Source organism: Homo sapiens, chromosome 3, assembly GCF_000001405.40.
Source record: "Homo sapiens chromosome 3, GRCh38.p14 Primary Assembly".
NCBI lineage: Eukaryota > Metazoa > Chordata > Mammalia > Primates > Hominidae > Homo > Homo sapiens.
In genome coordinates, this window is record NC_000003.12 from 52,960,224 (window position 1) to 52,979,471 (window position 19,248).

The 19,248-nt window shown below is 39.1% G+C and overlaps 1 protein-coding gene across 1 annotated transcript in view; it reads right to left on the minus strand.

Annotated features, from left to right (window-relative positions):
- Positions 1 to 19,248, minus strand: part of SFMBT1 (Scm like with four mbt domains 1) — a 142,502-nt gene that overhangs the window by 56,652 nt on the left and 66,602 nt on the right. Inside the window, exon 2 of the mRNA NM_016329.4 lies at positions 8,878 to 9,035. Coding sequence (NP_057413.2) covers positions 8,878 to 8,905 — 28 coding nt within the window. The 5' untranslated portion in view covers positions 8,906 to 9,035. The remainder of the gene's footprint in view (positions 1 to 8,877; positions 9,036 to 19,248) is intronic.

The following is a 19,248-nucleotide window of genomic DNA, read 5'->3' on the forward strand; positions in this document are numbered from 1 at the left end:
TGCATATTAATATAAGAGTGTAAAGAAAAGGATGAAAAGAATACGTATCAACTTCAACAAAGTTACCTTTGGGGATAAAGAGAAGGAAACAGATTAGAAGGGAAGTACAAAAGAGGCTTAAACTGTATTATGTTTCACTTCTTTTAAAAAATGAAAATGCATGAAAAGATGTTCAACATTACTAATCATTAGGGAAATGCAAATCAAAACTACAATGAAATGCCATTTCACACATATTAGAATAACTATAAACAAAAAGACAAAAAATAATAAGTGTTGGTGAGGATATGGAGAATTAAGAATGGTTGTATATTTCTGGTGGGAATGTAAAATGGTACAGCCACTATAGAAAACTGTACAGTACTTCCTCAAAATATTTTTAATTATCATATGATCTATCTATCTATCTATCTCTCTATCTATCTATGCATGTCTGTGTATATACCCAAAAAGAATTAAAAAGAGGGACTCAAACATGTATTTGTACACAAATGTTCATAGCAGCAATATTCACAATAACCAAAAGGCAGAGGCAACCCAAGTGTCCATCAACAGACGAATGGATAACAAAATGAATGTGGTATATACATACAATGGAATATTATTTAGCCTTTTAAAAAAAGGAAATTCTGGCCGGGTGCGGTGGCTCATGCCTGTAATCCCAACACTTTGGGAAGCCAAGGCAGAGGACAGCTTAAGCCCAGGAGTTTGAGACCAGCCTGAGCAACAGAGGGAAATCTCGTGTCTACAAAAATATTTTTAAAAGTAAGCTGAGCATGGTGGTGAGTGGCTGTAGTCCCAGCTACTTGAGAGGCTGAGGTGGGAGGATCACTTGCAAGGTTGGGGCTACAGTGAGCAGTGATCACATCACTGCACTCCAGCCTGGGCTGTTAGAGACCCCATCCTCCCAAAAATAAAGTTCTGACACATACTACAACATTGATAAACAATGAAGACATTATGCTAAGAGAAATAAGCCCGTCACAAAAGACAAATGGATACCTACAGTAGTCAAATTCATAGAAACAGAAAATTAAATGGTGGGTGCTAGGGGCTAGGGAAACTGGGGAATGGGGAGTTACTGTTGAACAGGTATACCTTTCCATTTGGAAAGATAAGGAGATGGATGGCAGTGATTACTGCCCAACAATGTGAATGTACTTAATGCCAATAAACTATACACTTAAAAATTGTTAAAACGGCCTGTAATCCCAGCTACTCAGGGGGCTGAAGCAAGAGAACCGCTTGATCCCAGGAGTTCAAGACTGTAGTGTACATGATTGTGCCTGTGAATAGCCACTGCACTCCAGCCTGGGCAATGCTGCAAGACCCCACCGCTTTAAAAAAGGTGAAAGTGGTAAATTTTACATTATGGACATTTTACCACAATAAAAAATTAAAAACATATTGAACATTAACATTTATTAAATATTTATGCTAGGCACATGATTGTTTGTTGTAGTCTTTTCCATAGTTTTAATGTATTTGAAATGTTTTCATTAGAAATACAAGCCAATAATAAAGACAGCTTTGAGGGCAACTTGAAAGTACAGGCCAGCAGAAAGTCAATTTACATTACTAAAACTTAACAAGGCTGGGCATTCGTGGCCCTTAGCAAGGACTCTAGGTCCTTAAATAGCATGTTAATTTAAAAATAAAAAATAAGTAACAATTAAAATGATGAATCACTCAACTAAAATCTCTCACACAATGCTGAGAAGAAACAAGACTAATGATGTGATGAGATGATGAGCAAGATATATGAGAGTTTATTAAAGAAATAAATGCATAATCCTTAAATATATGAAAATGTGCAAATTTTGTTTTAAGAGAAATGCAAATTAAAACGACAGAGATATCAGATTGAAAAGAATTCCAAAGTGTGACAAGCCTCAATGGTGAGGCTGTAAACAGGTAAAGCATAATGACACAACCTCTGTGGAAGAAAACTTGGCAATATCCAACAAAATTACATATGTATTTACCTTTTGATCCAGCAATCCCACTTCTAGGAATCTATCCCAAAGATATGCTGGCAAAAATACAAAAAGACATTTGTACAAAGCCATTCATTGTAGCACTATTTGTAATACCAAGACTGGAAATAACCCTGACGTCCATCAATAAGGAAATGGTTGAATAAATATGGTATATGTATTCAGTACAGGTTGCTGTAAAGCAATGAGAACAATCTCTATATACTGATGTGGAATAATCTCCAAAATATACTGTTAAGAGTAACCACACTACCAAACAGTATTTTTTTTTGTATCCCTATTTTTTGTATAAGATGGGAGAGAGGCCAGGCGCAGTGGCTCATGCCTATAATACTAGCACTTTGGGAGGCCGAGGTGGGTGGATCACATGAGGCCAGGAGTTTGAGAGGAGCCTGGCCAACATGATGAAACCCCATCTCTACTAAAAATACAAAAATTAGCCAGGTGCATGGTGGCACGTGCCTGTAATCCCAGCTACTCAGGAGGCTAAGGCATGAGAATCGTTTGAACCCAGAGGCAGGGGTTGCAGTGAGCCGAGGTTGTGCCACTGCACTACAGCCTGGGTGACAGAGCAAGGCTCCCTGTCTCAAAAAAAAAAAAAAAAGGAGAGGGAGATGTGAGTATGAGGATATATGTATATACACTCACATATATTAGTTTATATTTTTAAAAATGAACAACAGGAGAATAAATTAAAAAGTAATAAAACTGGCTATATATATGGAAAAAGAGAAAGAATTAGTAATATCAGGTTGAAGTTATTTTATTTTATTTTATTTTATTTTATTTTTGAGATGGAGTTTCACTCTGTCACCCAGGCTGGAATGTGGTGGTGCGATCTCGGCTCACTGCAACCTCCACCTCCTGGGTACAAGAGGTTCTCTTGCCTCAGCCTTCCTAGCAGCTGGGATTACAGGCGCATACCACCATGCCCAGCTGATTTTTTGTATTTTTAGTAGAGATGGGGTTTTACCATGTTGGCCAGGCTGGTCTCAAATCCCTGACCTCAGGTGGTCCGCCCGCCTCGCCCTTCCAAAGTGCTGGGATTACAGGCATGACCCACCGCCCGGCCAATTTTGACTTTAGAAATATGCAGGCTCATTATACAATTTAGAAACAATTAAATTGAAATTAAAAAAATTCTATAAATTTCAAATAAACTGAAACACATGAGCTAACTGTTGGTGGGAAAACCACAAGAAAACAGGATTCCTTTAAGTAATGTTATTTATTTTTATTTGTTTTTGAGACAGGGTCTTGCTCTGTCACCCAGGCTGGAGTGCTGTGGTGCAATAAAAGCTCTCTGAAGCCTCAACCACCCTGGCTCAAGCAATCTTCCCACCTCAGACTCCCAAGTAGCTGGGACTACAGGTACATGCCACTGCACCTGGCTAATTTTTTTTTTTCTTTTTGGTAGAGACAGGGTCTCCCTATGTTGCCCAGACTGGTCTTGAACCCCTGGGCTCAAGCAATCCTCCTGCCTTTGCCTCCCAAAGTGCTGGATTACAGGCGTGAGCCACCGGGTCTGGCCTATGCCATATTAAAATACAATACTCTGACTATAAACACCAGTGGAATATATTTAAAAGCAAAAACTATAAAGAAATCTTAAACTGCACACTGTGGTTGATATCTAAAATGTTGGTATTATTATTTTAAAATAATTAGAGGACTTCTATAGGATAAAAACAAAGAATAATATTACCATCATTAGCAAACAAGACATTTCTAAAAGGGAAGAGATACAAGCATAAAATCAAAGAAGAAAAAACTTTGTAACCCTGTTTTATTTTTGTTTGTTTGTTTTGTTTTTTTGAGATAGAGTTTCCCTATATTGCCCCAGCTGGCCTTGAATTCCCAGGCTCAAGCCACCTCAGCCTCCCAAGTAGCAGGACTACAAGTGCATGCCACTGTGCCCAGCTAAAACCCTGTACTTTTAAATTTACATTGTAAGTATCAATGTAAAACCATTATTTTCTTTACTTTTCAAAAGATGTGTATTTTCATGGCTGGGCATGGTGGCTCACACCTGTAAATCCCAGCAATTTGGGAGGCTGAGGCAGGAAGATCACTTGAAGCCAGGAGTTTGAAACCAGCCTGGGCAACATAACATAGCAAGACCCCATCTCTACAAAAATTAAAAAATTGCTGGGGATGATGGCATGTGCCTGTGTTCCCAGCTACTTGGGAGGCTGAGGTGGGAAGATCACCTGAACTTAGGAGTTTGAGGCTGCAGTGAGCCATGATCATGCCACTGTACTCCACCCTGGGTGACAAAGCAAGATTTTGTCTCTAAAAAATAGAAAATAATTTTAAATGTGTATTTTCTAGCTATGTCTGTAAGTAAGGCCTAGAATAAATGACAACCTAGTATCAAATTAGCACTCCAGCACCCAGATTGTGGTCTCTAAATATCATACCTACTTTAAAGAAAAAAAAAGCTCCTCAGAGAAACAGCGGATTGCAAGTTTGGGGGGCAGGATATGTTCAGGAGGTACTTGGGAATCTTACTGGTCCAGAAAGCAAGGACTAACTGTATCAAAGGTACATGACGTCACATCAGAAGAACACAGGAACCAGTCTGAAACAACTCTTGCTGCTCTAGAATTTGATCATCAAATGAATGATGACAGCAATACATTCAAACTCATCAAATGTATACATATACATATACGTACTTAAATACATGAGTTAATAATATTTAACACAAAGGAAAAATCAACTTCTGAAATGGCAGAATGATTATTGCAGTGAACCCACTCTCCCATAAAAGAACCAAAGGACTGGCTAACCAATGAAAATCATCATTTCAAAGTCCTAAAATTAACCAAAGGCAGAGAACAAGCTAAAAAGCATCAATTCAAGATAAGCCACTAAACCTCAGTTAGAAGAGCAAAATGCGACATTTTAGGTTGAGACTATTCCCTTCCCTCTTCCTTCTCCAGCTCAAAAATAAAATTTTAGAGCTGAAAATAACCCAATTAATTAAAAAAAAACCCTCTATGGATAAGTTCAACAGCAGAATGAAGCAGACAAGAAAGAATGAGTAAAATTGAAGACAAAACAACAGAAAAAACCCAATCTAAACAACAGAGAGAAAACATTAAAAAAAAAAATGAAGAGAGTCTGAGGGACCTGTGGGACAATAAGATAAGCTTAAACCCAAAAAATATATACACCAGACTCAAACTTCCAAAAACTAAAGGCAAAAAAAAAAAAAATCTTAAAATTAACAACAGAGAAACCTCTCTTTTAAAGCAAAGCGTTGCGGGTGGGAGGTGGGAGAGTGTCCAATGACAGCAGATTTCTCATCAGAAACCATGGAGGCCAGAAAGAAGTAGCACAATTATTTTCTGAGAGCTGAAAGAAATGAGCTTTCAACCCAGGATTCCATATCCAGCAAAAATATCCCTCAACAATGAATGGGGAAATCAACATATTCTCAAATGAAATGAAATGAAGACAATCTGTCACTACTAGACCTCCTTTAAAAAAAAGACTAACGGCCGGGTGCGGTGGCTCAGGCCTGTAATCCTAGCACTTTGGGAGGCCGAGGCGGGCAGATCACAAGGTCAGGAGATCGCGACCATCCTGGCTAACACGGTGAAACCCCGTCTCTACCAAAAATACAAAAAATTAGCCGGGCGTGGTAGCAGGCACCTGTAGTCCCAGCTACTCGGGAGGCTGAGGCAGGAGAATGGCGTGAACCCGGGAGGCGGAGCTTGCAGTGAGCCGAGATCCCGCCACTGCACTCCAGCCTGAGCGACAGAGCAAGACTCCGTTTCAAAAAAAAAAAAAAAAAAAAAATAGGACTAAAGCCGGCGCGGTGGCTCACGCCTGTAATTCCAGCACTTTGGGAGGCCGAGGCGGGCGGATCACGAGGTCAGGAAATCGAGACCATCCTGGCTAACAGGGTGAAACCCCGTCTCTACTAAAAATACAAAAAATTTGCCGGGCGTGGTGGCGGGCGCCTGTAGTCCCAGCTACTCGGGAGGCTGAGGCAGGAGAATGGCGTGAACCCGGGAGGCAAAGCTTGCAGTGAGCCGAGCCGAGATGGCGCCACTGCACTGCAGCCTGGGCGACAGAGCAAGACTCCCGTCTCAAAAGAAAAAAAAAAGGACTAAAGCCGGCGCGGTGGCTCACGCCTGTAATCCCAGAACTTTGGGAGGCCGAGACAGGTGGATCACAGGGTCAGGAGATCGAGACCATCCTGGCTAACACAGTGAAACCCCGTCTCTACTAAAAATACAAAAAGTTAGCCAAGCGTGGTGGTGGGCGCCTGTAGTCCCAGATACTTGGGAGGCTGAGGCAGGAGAATGGTGTGAACCCAGGAGGCGGAGCTTGCAGTGAGCCGAGATCACGCCACTGCACTCCAGCCTGGGTGACAGAGCGAGACTCAGTCTCAAAAAAAAAAAAAAAAAAAAAAAGACTAAAGAAAATTCTCTAAATAGAAATGAAGTGACAAAAGAGAGAATCTTGGAAAATCAGGAAAAGAATAAATGACAACATAAAGAGTAAAAATACTGAAAAATATAATAAATTTTCCTTCTCTCAAGTGTTCTAAATTATATGTTTGACAGTTTAAACAAAAATGTTAAGCATGTCTGATGTGGTTCTCAAAATATGTAGAGAAAATATTTAAGGCAATTATAAATAAAAGAGGGTAAAGAGAAGTAAAAGTAGGTAAGATTTCTATACTTCACTTTAATAAAATGAAGATTGTGATAAGTTATATATATATATATATACTATAATACCTAAAGTAACCACCAATAAGTGCTACAAGAGGATATACTCAAAAACACTACAAATCAAAATGGAATTCTAAAAAAAAGTTCAAGTAACCCACAGGAAAGCAGAGGGAAAAAAAGAACACAGGAGCCAGTCTGAAAGAAATCTCACTGCTCTAGAGAAACAAACAAACAAAAGCAGAAAAAATAAATAAGCAAAAAAGGCAGACTTGAATCCAAACATATCAATAATTACATTAAGTATAAATGGTATACATACATCCTATAAGGCCAAAATTTTTAAAAATTAGTGTATGCTGTGTCAAGAACCTTATTTCAAATATAATTATACAGGCATGTTGAAAAGAAAAGGATGAAAAAGATATACCATGCAAATGTTAATAAAAGAAAGCTGGAATAGGTAAATCCTAGAGACAGAAAGTAGATTATGGATGTCAGAGTCTGGGTGGAAAAGGAAATGATGGCTAATGGTTTGTTGTGATGGAATGTTCTGGAATTAGATAGCAGTGATGGTTGGAAAACTTTGTGAATAGACTAAAAACCTCTGAATTATGTACTCTAAAAGGGTTGATTTTATGGTATGTGTATTGCATCTCAAAAAACATATTTCAATAAAGTTTTTTGAAAAACCTCAACAAAAAAACCAATCTTTATTAATTAAAAATAAACCAATTGATAATGAGCCAAAGACATGAAGAGACATTTCACTGACGAGGATATGCAGATGCCAAGTAGGAACATGTAAAGATGTTCAATATCACTGGCGGCCATGAGGGAGGTACAAATTAACACCAGGATGAGCTGTCACTACCCACCTATCAGAATGGCTTAAACAAAAGTAATGACAACACCAGATAGCAGTGAGGATGTAGAGAAACTAGAACTCTCATATACTGCTGGTGAGAATGTAAAATGGCACAGCCACTCTGGAGCATAATTTTGCAGTTTTCTTTACTAAATATGATCTAGTGATTGTGCTGCTGGGTATGTACCCCAGAAAAATAAAGTATTATATACACAATTGTTAATAGCAACTTATGTGTTGGTAAGAGCCAAAAACTGGAAACAACCAAAATGTACTACAATAGATGAATGGTTAACCAAACTGCAGTACATTCATGACTGCTCCTCCACAATAAAAAGGAACAAACTGTCAATATACGCGAGAGCTTGGATGGATGTCAAGGGCATTATTAAAGCCCATCTCAAAAAGCCATGTACTGTGTTATTCTATTTATGTAACATTCTTTAAATGACAAAATTACAGAGATGGAGAACAAATTAACAGTTGCCTGGGATTAGGGAAAGTCAGGGGAAGGAGGATAGGTGTGGGAGCTCTTTGTGGTGATGGAATAGTTCTGTATTTTGACTGAGGGGATGGTTCCAGGAATCTACACATGTGACAAAATGACATAGAATTGCACATTCTTTATACTAACATCAATTTCCTCAGTTTTATATCATATTATAGTAACTAATGAGAGAAACTGGGTGAAAGGAACATGAAATATGTCAGTAAGTACTATCTTTGCAAACTCCTGTGAATGCATAATTACTTCAAAATAACTAGAAAGTAATCATCAAAATTTTAATGCTATTTTAAAAAAGAAGTCTGTTCAAAACAGTTTCTTTTTTTTTTTTTTTTTGAGAAGGAGTCTCGCTCTGTTGCACAGGCTGGAGTGCAGTGGCGCGATCCTGGCTCACTGCAAGCTCTGCCTCCTGGGTTCACACCATTCTCCTGCCCGAGTAGCTGGGACTACAGGCACCCGTCACCACACCCAGCTAATTGTTTGTATTTTGTTTAGTAGAGACGGGGTTTCACCGTGTTAGCCAGGATGGTCTCGATCTCCTGACCTCGTGATCTGCCCACCTCGGCCTCCCAAAGTGTTATGATTACAGGTATGAGCCACCGCGCCCGGCCTTGTTCATAACAGTTTCTTATTTTTTCAGCAAACATTATTAGTAGCCCCTAGTGCCAGGTTCTCTGAGAGGTACAGAAGATGGCAATGAAAAACAACTTAAGACTTCAAAGAGCTTCCAGTTCAGTGGTAGAGAAACAGACAATATAACACAGGCAAGTAATATAATTGTGCATCCTAGAGAATAAATTCTGAGAATAAAACCAATACCTGCATCAAGCTGCTGCTCCCCGTTCATTTCCACAGCATATAGGCAGGCTATATCCTCCCAAAACAAAGGAAAGGCCTATGGTTCTGCTAGGATCTGAAGATTACTTGCAGGTTTCAAGCATCTGTTCAATGGGTATCCACGGGTCCAAATGAAAGTGCTGAAAAATGAAAAAGAACACATTAAACAGCCTGAAGCCCAAGTGTGCTCACTCACTCATCAAACAGGGCACTCGACTGGTTGAGAGATGACATAAGACAAAAACATACTGGCAGAATAGATAGGACTGGAGGAAAAAATTGATACCTTTTCTAATTTTGAAGAGTCTGTATGTGTATGTGTGCGCTCATGTGCGTCTGTATGTGTAGAGAACGCACACTATCGAGATCTTGATAATAAATCTAAAACTCACAACAAAGTAAGATGCATATGAATCATTACCCTTTAAATTTACATTACCATACTTAGCACCATGATTCCTATACACAAAACTCCAGTTCCTAATGGTCTCCTAGGGAGACAGGGGAGTTAGCTTTCAATGCTGTCTTACACAACGAATATGATTCAGGATAGAGTATTACTTTATCTAATTTTCCATCTCATCTATCTAGAATATTATGCAGATCCATAAATATCAACTGTATTAGCCTACAATTATAAAGAGAATTCCTCCAAAATAAGCTTTGAACCTGCTTATTCTTTTTTTAAAAAACAGCTTTAGGGCTGGAAGCGGTGGCTCATGACTGTAATCCCAACACTCTGGGAGGCTGAAGTGAGAGGATTCCTTTGAGCCCAGGAGTTTGGGACCAGCCTGGGCAACATGGCAAAACCTCACCTGTACTAAAAATACAAAAACTAGCTGGGTATGGTGGCGCACGCCTGTAGTTTCAGCTACTTGGGAGGCTGAGGTGGGAGGATGGCTTGAGTCTGGGGGACGGAGGTTGCAGAGCCAAGATCGCACCACTGCACTCCAGCCTGGGTGACACAGCCAGACACTGTCTCAAAAAAAAAAAAAGAAGAAGAAAAGCTTTATTGGGATATAAGCCACATACCAAAATTTCCCATTTTGAGGTACAAATTAATAATTTTTAGTAAATGTACAAAGTGTAACCATCATAATTGAATTTGAGAATATTTCTATTATCCTGAAAAGAAGCCAAATGCTCACTTGCAGTTCCTTCCTATTCCATCCCTAAGCTCAAGCAACCACTCATCTCCTTTGTCTCTACAGATTTTGCCTTTCCCAAACATTTCACATAAATGGAACCATATGAAATGTGGTCTTTCATATAACCTTGGTTTTCTTTCACTTATCATGTTTTTGAGGTTCATCCACGTTGCAGTATGGATGAATCTATTTATTCTTGCTTTATATATACATGTAAAATAATCTAAGATATTAATCTAAGATATTATCTTAATATGTGCCTAACAGATTAGAAAGAGTAAATGAAAGGGAGAAGAGAGCTGCTACAGGAAGGCATGGCATGAACTAACTGCAAGAGCGACAATACAGAAAACTATAGCATTGGGATGGGTACTTAACAGCACAGCTTTGGGAGTGATATTCTGCAGGATCAAGCAATTCTATACTTCTCAAAAGTTTTGAGTGTGTATTAGAGCCCCCAGTAAATGATTCTCATAAGCAACTTTAATCATGAAGAAAAAGCTTAGCTTTTAATACATCCTTATACCACTTTTGCCTGAAAAGGTACCAGCTACCTAAAGGACAATAGCTTAAAATGGGTAGGGATGGCCAGGTGCGTGGCTCATGCCTGTAATCCTAGCACTTTGGGAGGCCAAGGCGGGCAGATCACTTGAGCCTAGGAGTGAAAGACCAGCCTGGGCAACACAGCAAAACCCTGTCTCAAAAAATATATATGAAAATTAGCTGGGTGTGGTAGTGCATGCCTGCAGTCCCAGCTACTTGGGTGGCTGAGGCAGGAGAATCGCTTGAGCCCAGGAGGCTGAGGGTAAGGCTGCAATGAGCCAAGATCATGCCACTGCACTCCAGCCTGGGCAATGAGAGTGAAATCCTGTCTCAAAAAAAAAAAAGTGGGGAGGTAAGGAAACCTAGGTTCTAGTGCCAGCTCTACTGATAACTAGCTATGCAATCTGATACGCTACCGTATTATGTCCATTTTTTATCTATAAAACAAATAAAGATCTTTTTCAGATTTTAAATTTTCATTTCATAATGAGCGTAGAAAACGTTTTGATAACTATTAAAATTGTGGACATCCCACTTGAGATAAATGCCAATTATCCCAAATCGTATCACAGAATATAAGCACCGAAACCCACACTTTCAAAGATGGGAACAATTGAAAAGAAACTTGAGAGTGATGTTTAAGGCTTCTAAATGTGCTCTCTTCCCTCAGTTTACTTTTCTACCCCAAGCCCAAAACATCCAAACTGTATCACTCCACCTACCAATTTATTCATCCCCATATACTTATCAAACACCAGCTCCTTACCAACCACTACTGTAGGGGTGGGGTAAAGTAATCAAGAGAGATATGGTTCCTGCTTTCATGGAGCTTATTTTCAACTGCAGGGAGACAAATTAAGCCAACAATAAAAAAATTATTTAAATTGCTAGCAAGTAGAAGTACTAGATGATAAGAAAGAATATAAAGGCAGGTCTAACCTAAGGTCACTGACAGTGTCCCTGAGAAAATGATACAGCAGCTAGGCAAAAGGGGGAGAAAAGGAGGACTATTCCAGGCACCAAGAACAGCATAAACCAAGGCTCTACAGTGGGAAGGACCTGAAGGCTGCTGTGGCTAGAGCATGCAAACCAACAGAATAAGTGGCAAATAAAAGACTGAACAGGAAGAGAAGGGATAACAGCAATTAATATTTACTGAGGACTGCCTACGTGCTGGGGCACTGTTTTAAGCAGGTTGTTGACAGGTTCAAATTTCTATGGCTCTAATTTAGTGGATAATCTCCACATATAAAGTCTTGACACTTCAGCATGGTTTTGATAGAACGAAGTCAGTGCTAAATAAATATCTGTTGGGTCACTAGGCTTTGAAGATGTCATCTACTGTTTATGTTCATGAGCTCTTGGAACATGCTAGAGTATTTTGTGCAGAGAGCCACAAAGTACAAAAATAATAATGAAGCTTCAAAGCCAAAAGGCATTAAGTGGAGAGATGCAAGTCTTACGTAGCAGAAAGCTAAGGCTGTGACATTTTTTCAACCTTACATCAATCATTTAGATTTTAGCCAATGAGCAATCAGTTCATCATCTTAATAGGATCACAAGAAATAGACTGATGAAGTCTTCTGCTGTGGAACATCTGTTCACGCTCTCTCTTTATTGTTAGCCTGCTGTCTTTTCATGCAGTAAAGAAAAAACGGTAAACTATCCAGGCGCTTAGTATATGAAAATTTAATTCACTTTTCCTTTATTTCCTGTTCATATTAAATTGTCTTACTGTCATCATTTATTTTATCATTTATTTTGGTATTATCACCCTCTTGTAGTGAACAGAACACACTAAGAGTTACTCATTTAAGGCCTGGTGAGGTGGCTCACGCCTGTAATCCCAGCACTTTGAGAGGCCGAGGCAGGTGGATTGCTTGAGATCAGGAGTTTGACAGCCTGGCCAACGTGGTAAAACCCCATCTCTACTAAACACACACACACACACACACACACACACACACACACACACACACACACTAGCTGAGTGTGGTGGCGGGCCAATGTGGTAAAACCCCATCTCTACTAAACACACACACACACACACACACACACACACACACTAGCTGAGTGTGGTCGCGGGCACCTGTAATCCCAGCTATTTGGGAGGCTCAGAAGAGAATCGCTTGAGCCTGGGAGGCTGAGGCTGCAGAGAGCCAAGATCGTACCACTGCACTCCAGCATGGGTGACAGAGCGAGACTCTGCCTCAAAAAAGGAAAAAAAGAAAGAGTTATTCATTTAAATAAGTACTTATAAGGCTGGGCCCAATGGCTCACCCCTGTAGTCCCAGTGCTTTGGAAGCCTGAGGCGGAAGGATCTCTTGAGCCCAGGAGTCTGAGGTTACCATGAGCAATGATCACACCACTGCATTCTAGCCTGGGCAACAGAGACAGACCCTGTCTCAAAAATTAATAAGTAAAAATAAATAAATAAAAGTAAAAATAAATAAATTCTCATGAATTAACTGATCTGGATCTTACTCATCTTATTTAATACTTTAGTGAACTAAATAGGTGCCTAGATATTTGGAGGGGGTTCTAAGAAAATATACTGAAGCTTGGAGAAATTTTAAATACTTCTAAGAAATATAAATAAAAATTGAAAAGGCAAAGCTAATTGGATAAAATAAGCTTTCAAGACAAATACTAAAAAAGAACAACAACTAAACCCAGGCAGAAAAATCAAACTGAATAGCTATTTCATTTTTAAGTGGTACATCAATATAAAATAAAACTACCATGGAATTTTAACAGGTTTTTTTGAAAGACCTAAAAGTCATCTGAACAACAAATATGTTAGACAAAATTTTCCCCTCCCATCTTGGTGGGGTTTTTTTACACACAGTATCACTGTGTTGCCCAGGCTGGAGTGCAGTGGCACAATCTCGGCTCACTGCAACCTCTGCCTCCCAGGTTGAAGTGATTCTCCTGCCTTAGCCTCCCAAGTAGCTGGGATTACAGGCATGAGCTACCATGCCTGGCTAATTTTGTATTGTGGTAGAGACCACGTTGGCCAGGCTGGTCTCGAACCCCTGACCTCAAGTGATCCGCCTGCCTCAGCCCTCCCATCTTGTTTTATATTACACATACAAGTCCACACTCTAAGCCTAGTAGTAGTAACCTGGCTTCATGTTAATGCCCTTTCTTTTCAAGGCTAAGATAAACATTGATTAAGATGAGTGATTACATGGGGAAGTTGCAATAATGCAAGAAAAATTTCTGTGGGAAGTATCCTCAGCCAAATGATTTAACATGTCTGACATAAGTAACTTTTAAAGGGCTTAGAAAGGACAGGACCTCAGGGTGGTTCTAAAGATCACTGATATGTTCGGTGGCTGGAAAAACAAAACAAAACAAAACACTTTAATTCAATAAATACCAGGCAGTTAGCAAGAAAATTCCTATTGAAATGTTTGAATTTGTACACTTATCCCTCAACAGAAACAAGTCCAACAATAATTTCGAGTATGTTGTTAAATATACTAATTGCAACAATTCAGCAAATCAGATGCTCCATTTTCAGCAGATGTGCAAAGTTAACTCTGACCCTGACAGTGCAGTCAGTGGTAGAGTCACCTTATATTTCCTGTTCCCATTCCCCAACAGGTGTAGTTTTCTGTCAGCCTTTCACTCTTACTATAGTCAACTGTAACTACATGTTTTATTTGTCTATCTAAATTAAACGTTGTCCTTCCATTTGTCAAATGCCAACATAACTCAGGGGCAGAAATCTTCTATTGTTTCATTAAGTTGTTTGTTATGTCATTTTTATTCTTTTAACCCACTGCTACATGTCTGACTAGAGAGATTAAAAAATAAAGTCTGATAAAGTCAAGGTTTTAGTTCAATTTTGCGAGAAAAATCTTAGCCACTCATATCATCTAAATTAAATCTGAGGCCAGGCACGGTGGCTCACGCCTGTAATCCCAGCACTTTGGGGGGCTGAGGTGGCGAATCACTTGAGCTCACGAGTTCGAGATAAGCCTGAGCAATATGGCAAGACCCTGTCTCTATAAAAAGTAAAAAAAAAAAAAAAAAAAAAAAATTAGCTGAGTGTGGTGGCACATGCTTGTAATCCCACCTACTCAGGAGGCTGAAGTGGGAGAATTGCTTGAACCCAGGGCAAAGGTTGCAGTGAGCCAAGTTTGCGCCACTGCACTCCAGCCTGGGTGACAGGGCAAGACCCTGTATCAGAAAAAAAAAAAAATCTGAGCCAAACCTTTTCATGATTTTATAAACCCAACACAGGGCAAATCCATCTCAGTTGAATAAACTGGTACTAATAAATTTATAAAACCACTGAAAAAGTTCTAAACAAAACCCAAACTCAAGAATAACCTAAACTGGAAAAAAAGAAAACAAAGAAAGTGAAACTGTGGAGCCAATATTTTTAAAGATTTTGGACAACAATGAGAAATTGTTAAGTAAAATATAGCATAAGCATACAATGCACCATACATGGCCATTGGAAATTGTGTTAGAGAAATGGTTTTCTTCTCCAAATCCCAATAGGGCATTTTTTTTCTTCTGATTCTATGGTTGACCCAATAGGCCACTGTATTTGACTTGATAAGATAATTTTAGAATGCACCTAAGCTGGGCATAGTGGCTCACACCTGTAATCCCAGCACTGTGGGAAGGCAAGGCGGGAGGATAGCTTGAGCCCAGGAGTTGCAGACCAGCCTGGGCAATATAGTAAGACCTCATCTCTACGAAAAATTTAAAGAACCAAAATTAGCTAAACGTGGTGACACATGCCTGTAATCTCAGCTACTCAGGAAGCTGAGAATTTTTTTGTTTGTTTGTTTTGAGACAGTCTACTTCTGTTACCCAGGCTGGAATGTAGTGGCGCAATCCCGTTTTACTGCAACCTCCACCTCCCAGGCTCAAGCAATTCTCGTGCCTTAGCCTCCTAAGTAACTGGGATTACAGGTGTGTGCTACCACGCCCGGCTACTTTTTGTATTTTTGGTAGAGACAGGGTTTCACCATGTTGGCCAGGCTGGTCTCGAACTCCTGACCTCAGGTGAGTTGATCTGCTCTTGCCTCAGACTCCCAAAGTGCTGGGATTACAGGCATGAGCCACAACGCAACCAGCCAGGAAGTTGGGAATTGCTTGAGTCTGAGAGGCAGAGGCTGTAATGACCCAAGATCATGCCGCCGCACTCCAACCTGGGTGATAGAGCAAGACTGTGTTCCAAAAAAACAAAAAATAAAATGAAATGCATCTAAAAGAGAAAAAAATGGACAATCCAGCTACATTTTTGTAAAACATGACACAAGGCAAGTTCCTTCTATCAAAATATTAAGCCAGACACAGTGGCTCATGCCTGTAATCCCAGCACTTTGGGAGGCCAAGACAGGAGGATCACTTGAGGCTGGGAGTTCAAGACCAACCTGGGCAGCATAGTGAGACTCCATCTCTACAAAAAAAGTTTTTTCTCAAATCAAAATAGTGTAATATTAGCATAAGAAAAGACAAACATCAATAAAGTAAAATAAAGTTGAACAAAATAGATCAATTTTTATGAGAGTGCAGTTTGTGATAAAGAGAGCATTCCATATAAAATCGTGAAAGGATACAAACAAATAGTGTTAAAGAATTGGCTATCCATTTTGGGAGGAAAAAAAATTAGAACCTTACTTTATGCTGCCACATAAATAAATTCCAAGTGAATTAAAAGAGAAAAACATGAAAAAGAAGATTCCAAAGAAATTAAAAGAAAACATACGTGAATATGGTTATAGCCTTGGAATAGCATAGATTTCCTTAAGCAAGGAAGCCATAAAATGGATACATTTGACTAAATAAACATTTAAAACTTTCAACTGGCAAAAAGAACCATAAACAAATTTAAAAAACAAGCTACAGAAAAAAAACTATCTCCAGCGTATATAGCAGACAAAATATTAATAGCCATAATAACAGCACCTATTAGATAAATAAGACCAAACCTAATAACATGGACATTTTTTTAAAAGGTCAGATATGAACGATAATTGTAGGGAATGACTGGTAATCATATGAAAACATATTCAACCTCAACAGCTAAAATTTTATTTTTCACCCAGATTGGCAAAAACAAAAGATTAGTAACACTGAATATAGTTGAAGACATGCAGAAATGGAAGCCGTCATTATCAGTTCAGGAGCACAAATGGATATAGCCCTTTTAGACAGAAATTTTATTCTATCAAAATTTTAACTTGCATTCTCTACAACCCACCAGTTCCACTTCCAATACATTTCAGAAAAATATCCTGAGACAACAAGCAAATAAATAGCACAACAATTTCAAAGAAAGAGTTTAAACTGTCCTCATTTCAGGGCATACACAGAGAAACATCCCCATGTGTACAAAGTAGCAAGAACCAAAATGTTTGCTTGAGCAATGCCTGTATTAAGAAAAAACTGGAGGCTGGGAGCGGTGGCTAACGCATGTAATCCCAGCACTTTGGGAGGCTGAGGCAGGTGGATCACGAGGTCAGGAGTTCGAGACCAGCCTGAAAAACATGGTGAAACCCAGTTTCTACTAAAAATACAAAAAGATTAGCCAGGCCTAGTGGCGGGCGCCTGTAATCCCAGCTACTCGGGAGGCTGAGGCAGAAGAATCGCTTGAACCCAGGAGGCGGAGGTTGCAGTGAAGCGCACCACTGCACTTCAGCCCAGGCGACAGTGTGAGACTTCGTATCAAAAAAAAAGGAAAAAGAAAAAGAAAAGAAAAAACTGGAAACCTCAGGGTCAATCAATACATAATGGCACATCCACAAGATGAAAGTTAAAAAGAGTAAGACAGCTTAGTAAGCATAAAGTTCATGCTGGGGTGATGAAATAAGCTTTGGATTTGGATAGTGGTTTTATATAGATGTATACATATAACCTATATCTACATAAAACTGAACAAAAACAAAACTACGTATTTCTATAGGCACACATATATATGTGCAGATACCTTTAACGTGGTCAGGAAGAATACATCCAAATCATTAACAGGAAAGTGAGATTCAGGGGCAGGGCAAAAGGGAGTGTTTCTTTTAACAGTATTGGGTAAACTTTTTAAGATAAAAATGTACTCATATGTTTACTTCAGTGATTTAAAATTTTAAGACAAAAAATGCATTTATTGACATGGAAAGCTATTTATTCATTCTTTCAATAAATATTTACTGGAAACTTATTATGTGTCAGGCACAATAAAAAAAAATTAGAGATATATCAGTGAAGAAAACAGACCAAAATCTCTGCCCTCATGAAGCTTATATTTTAGTGTAAGGAAGAAAGTATAATACTTTTTCTAAATGTCATAAGTGATAGAGCTGGGGAGGAATGACAGTGTGGGGTGGTTAAATCGGGTAGAGAGAAAGGAGGTTTCACTGAGAAGGTAACATATGGACAAAGACTTGAGGGAGCTACAGAAGGAAAGAGCATGCCAGGCAGAGGGAAAAGCCAGCAGAAAGGGCCTAAAGGGAGAGCATGTGAGAGTGAGCTATGTTCTAGGAATAGCAGGGAGGCCAGGGTAGTTGGTGCCAAGTAAGCAAGCAAGAACAAGTAGAAGGAGAAGAGGCAGGAGAGAGGTCAACTTCACACTGCCTGCCACTCCCATGTACCTCTGTGAGTACCCCCCACCTACAGCCCTTAAGGAACTATACTTACCAGGTGACCCTACTCCTCTGGGGGTAACAAAACGTAAAGGCAATGTTGGTGGGAATGTAAAATGATGCAACCACCTGGGAAAACAGTCTGGCAGTTCCTCAGTGTTAAACATAGAGTTACCATATGGGCCAGTATTTCACTCCTCAATATATACCCAAGACATTTGAAAACATATGTCCAAACATAAACTTGTTCATGAATGTTCGTAGTATTATTTATAATAGTCAAAAAATAGAAACAAATCAAATGTATCAACCAATTAATGGTTAAGTAAAATGTAATATATCTAATATAATGGAATATTATTCAGCCATAAAAAGAAATGAAGTACGAATACATACTACAACAAGGATAACCTTGAAAATATTGTACATGAGAAGATAGACACTAAAGGCCACATATTATACGCTTCCATTTATATAAAATGACCACAGAGGCAAATTCACAGAGACAAGTGGGTAGATTGTGGTTGCCAAGGGCTGGTAGAGAAAAGGTAATGGATAACGACTACTAATATGTACAGGGTTGCTTTTGGGGGTATTAAAACATTCTAATATTAGACTGTGGTGAGAGTTGTACTATTCTGTGAATAAAAAAACTGTAAACTTTAAATAAGTGAGTTTTATGGTCTGTGAAATATATCTCAGTAAAACTATAAAAATGGTACTTATATTCAAGGACATAACTGTGCTTTTAAATAACATTTCAAATACAGAAGCCAATGACAAAAAAAAAAGAGACAAGATATCTGGGTTACCCTTAGGATATGCAACAGAAGGAGAAAGAAAATAATTTGGCTGTTACTGGTTTGTATCAGTTAAGGTAATGTTATGCTTTAACAGATAAATTTCTATTTTCAATTGCTTAATCCAACAGATATGTATTTCCCACTCAGATGAAGTCCAAACAGGTGTTCCTAATCAGTAGGCAACTCTCCACCATGTGATTATTCATGAAGCCAAAAGCCTTCCGCCACATAGCTCTACCACCTTCAACAAAGTCTTCA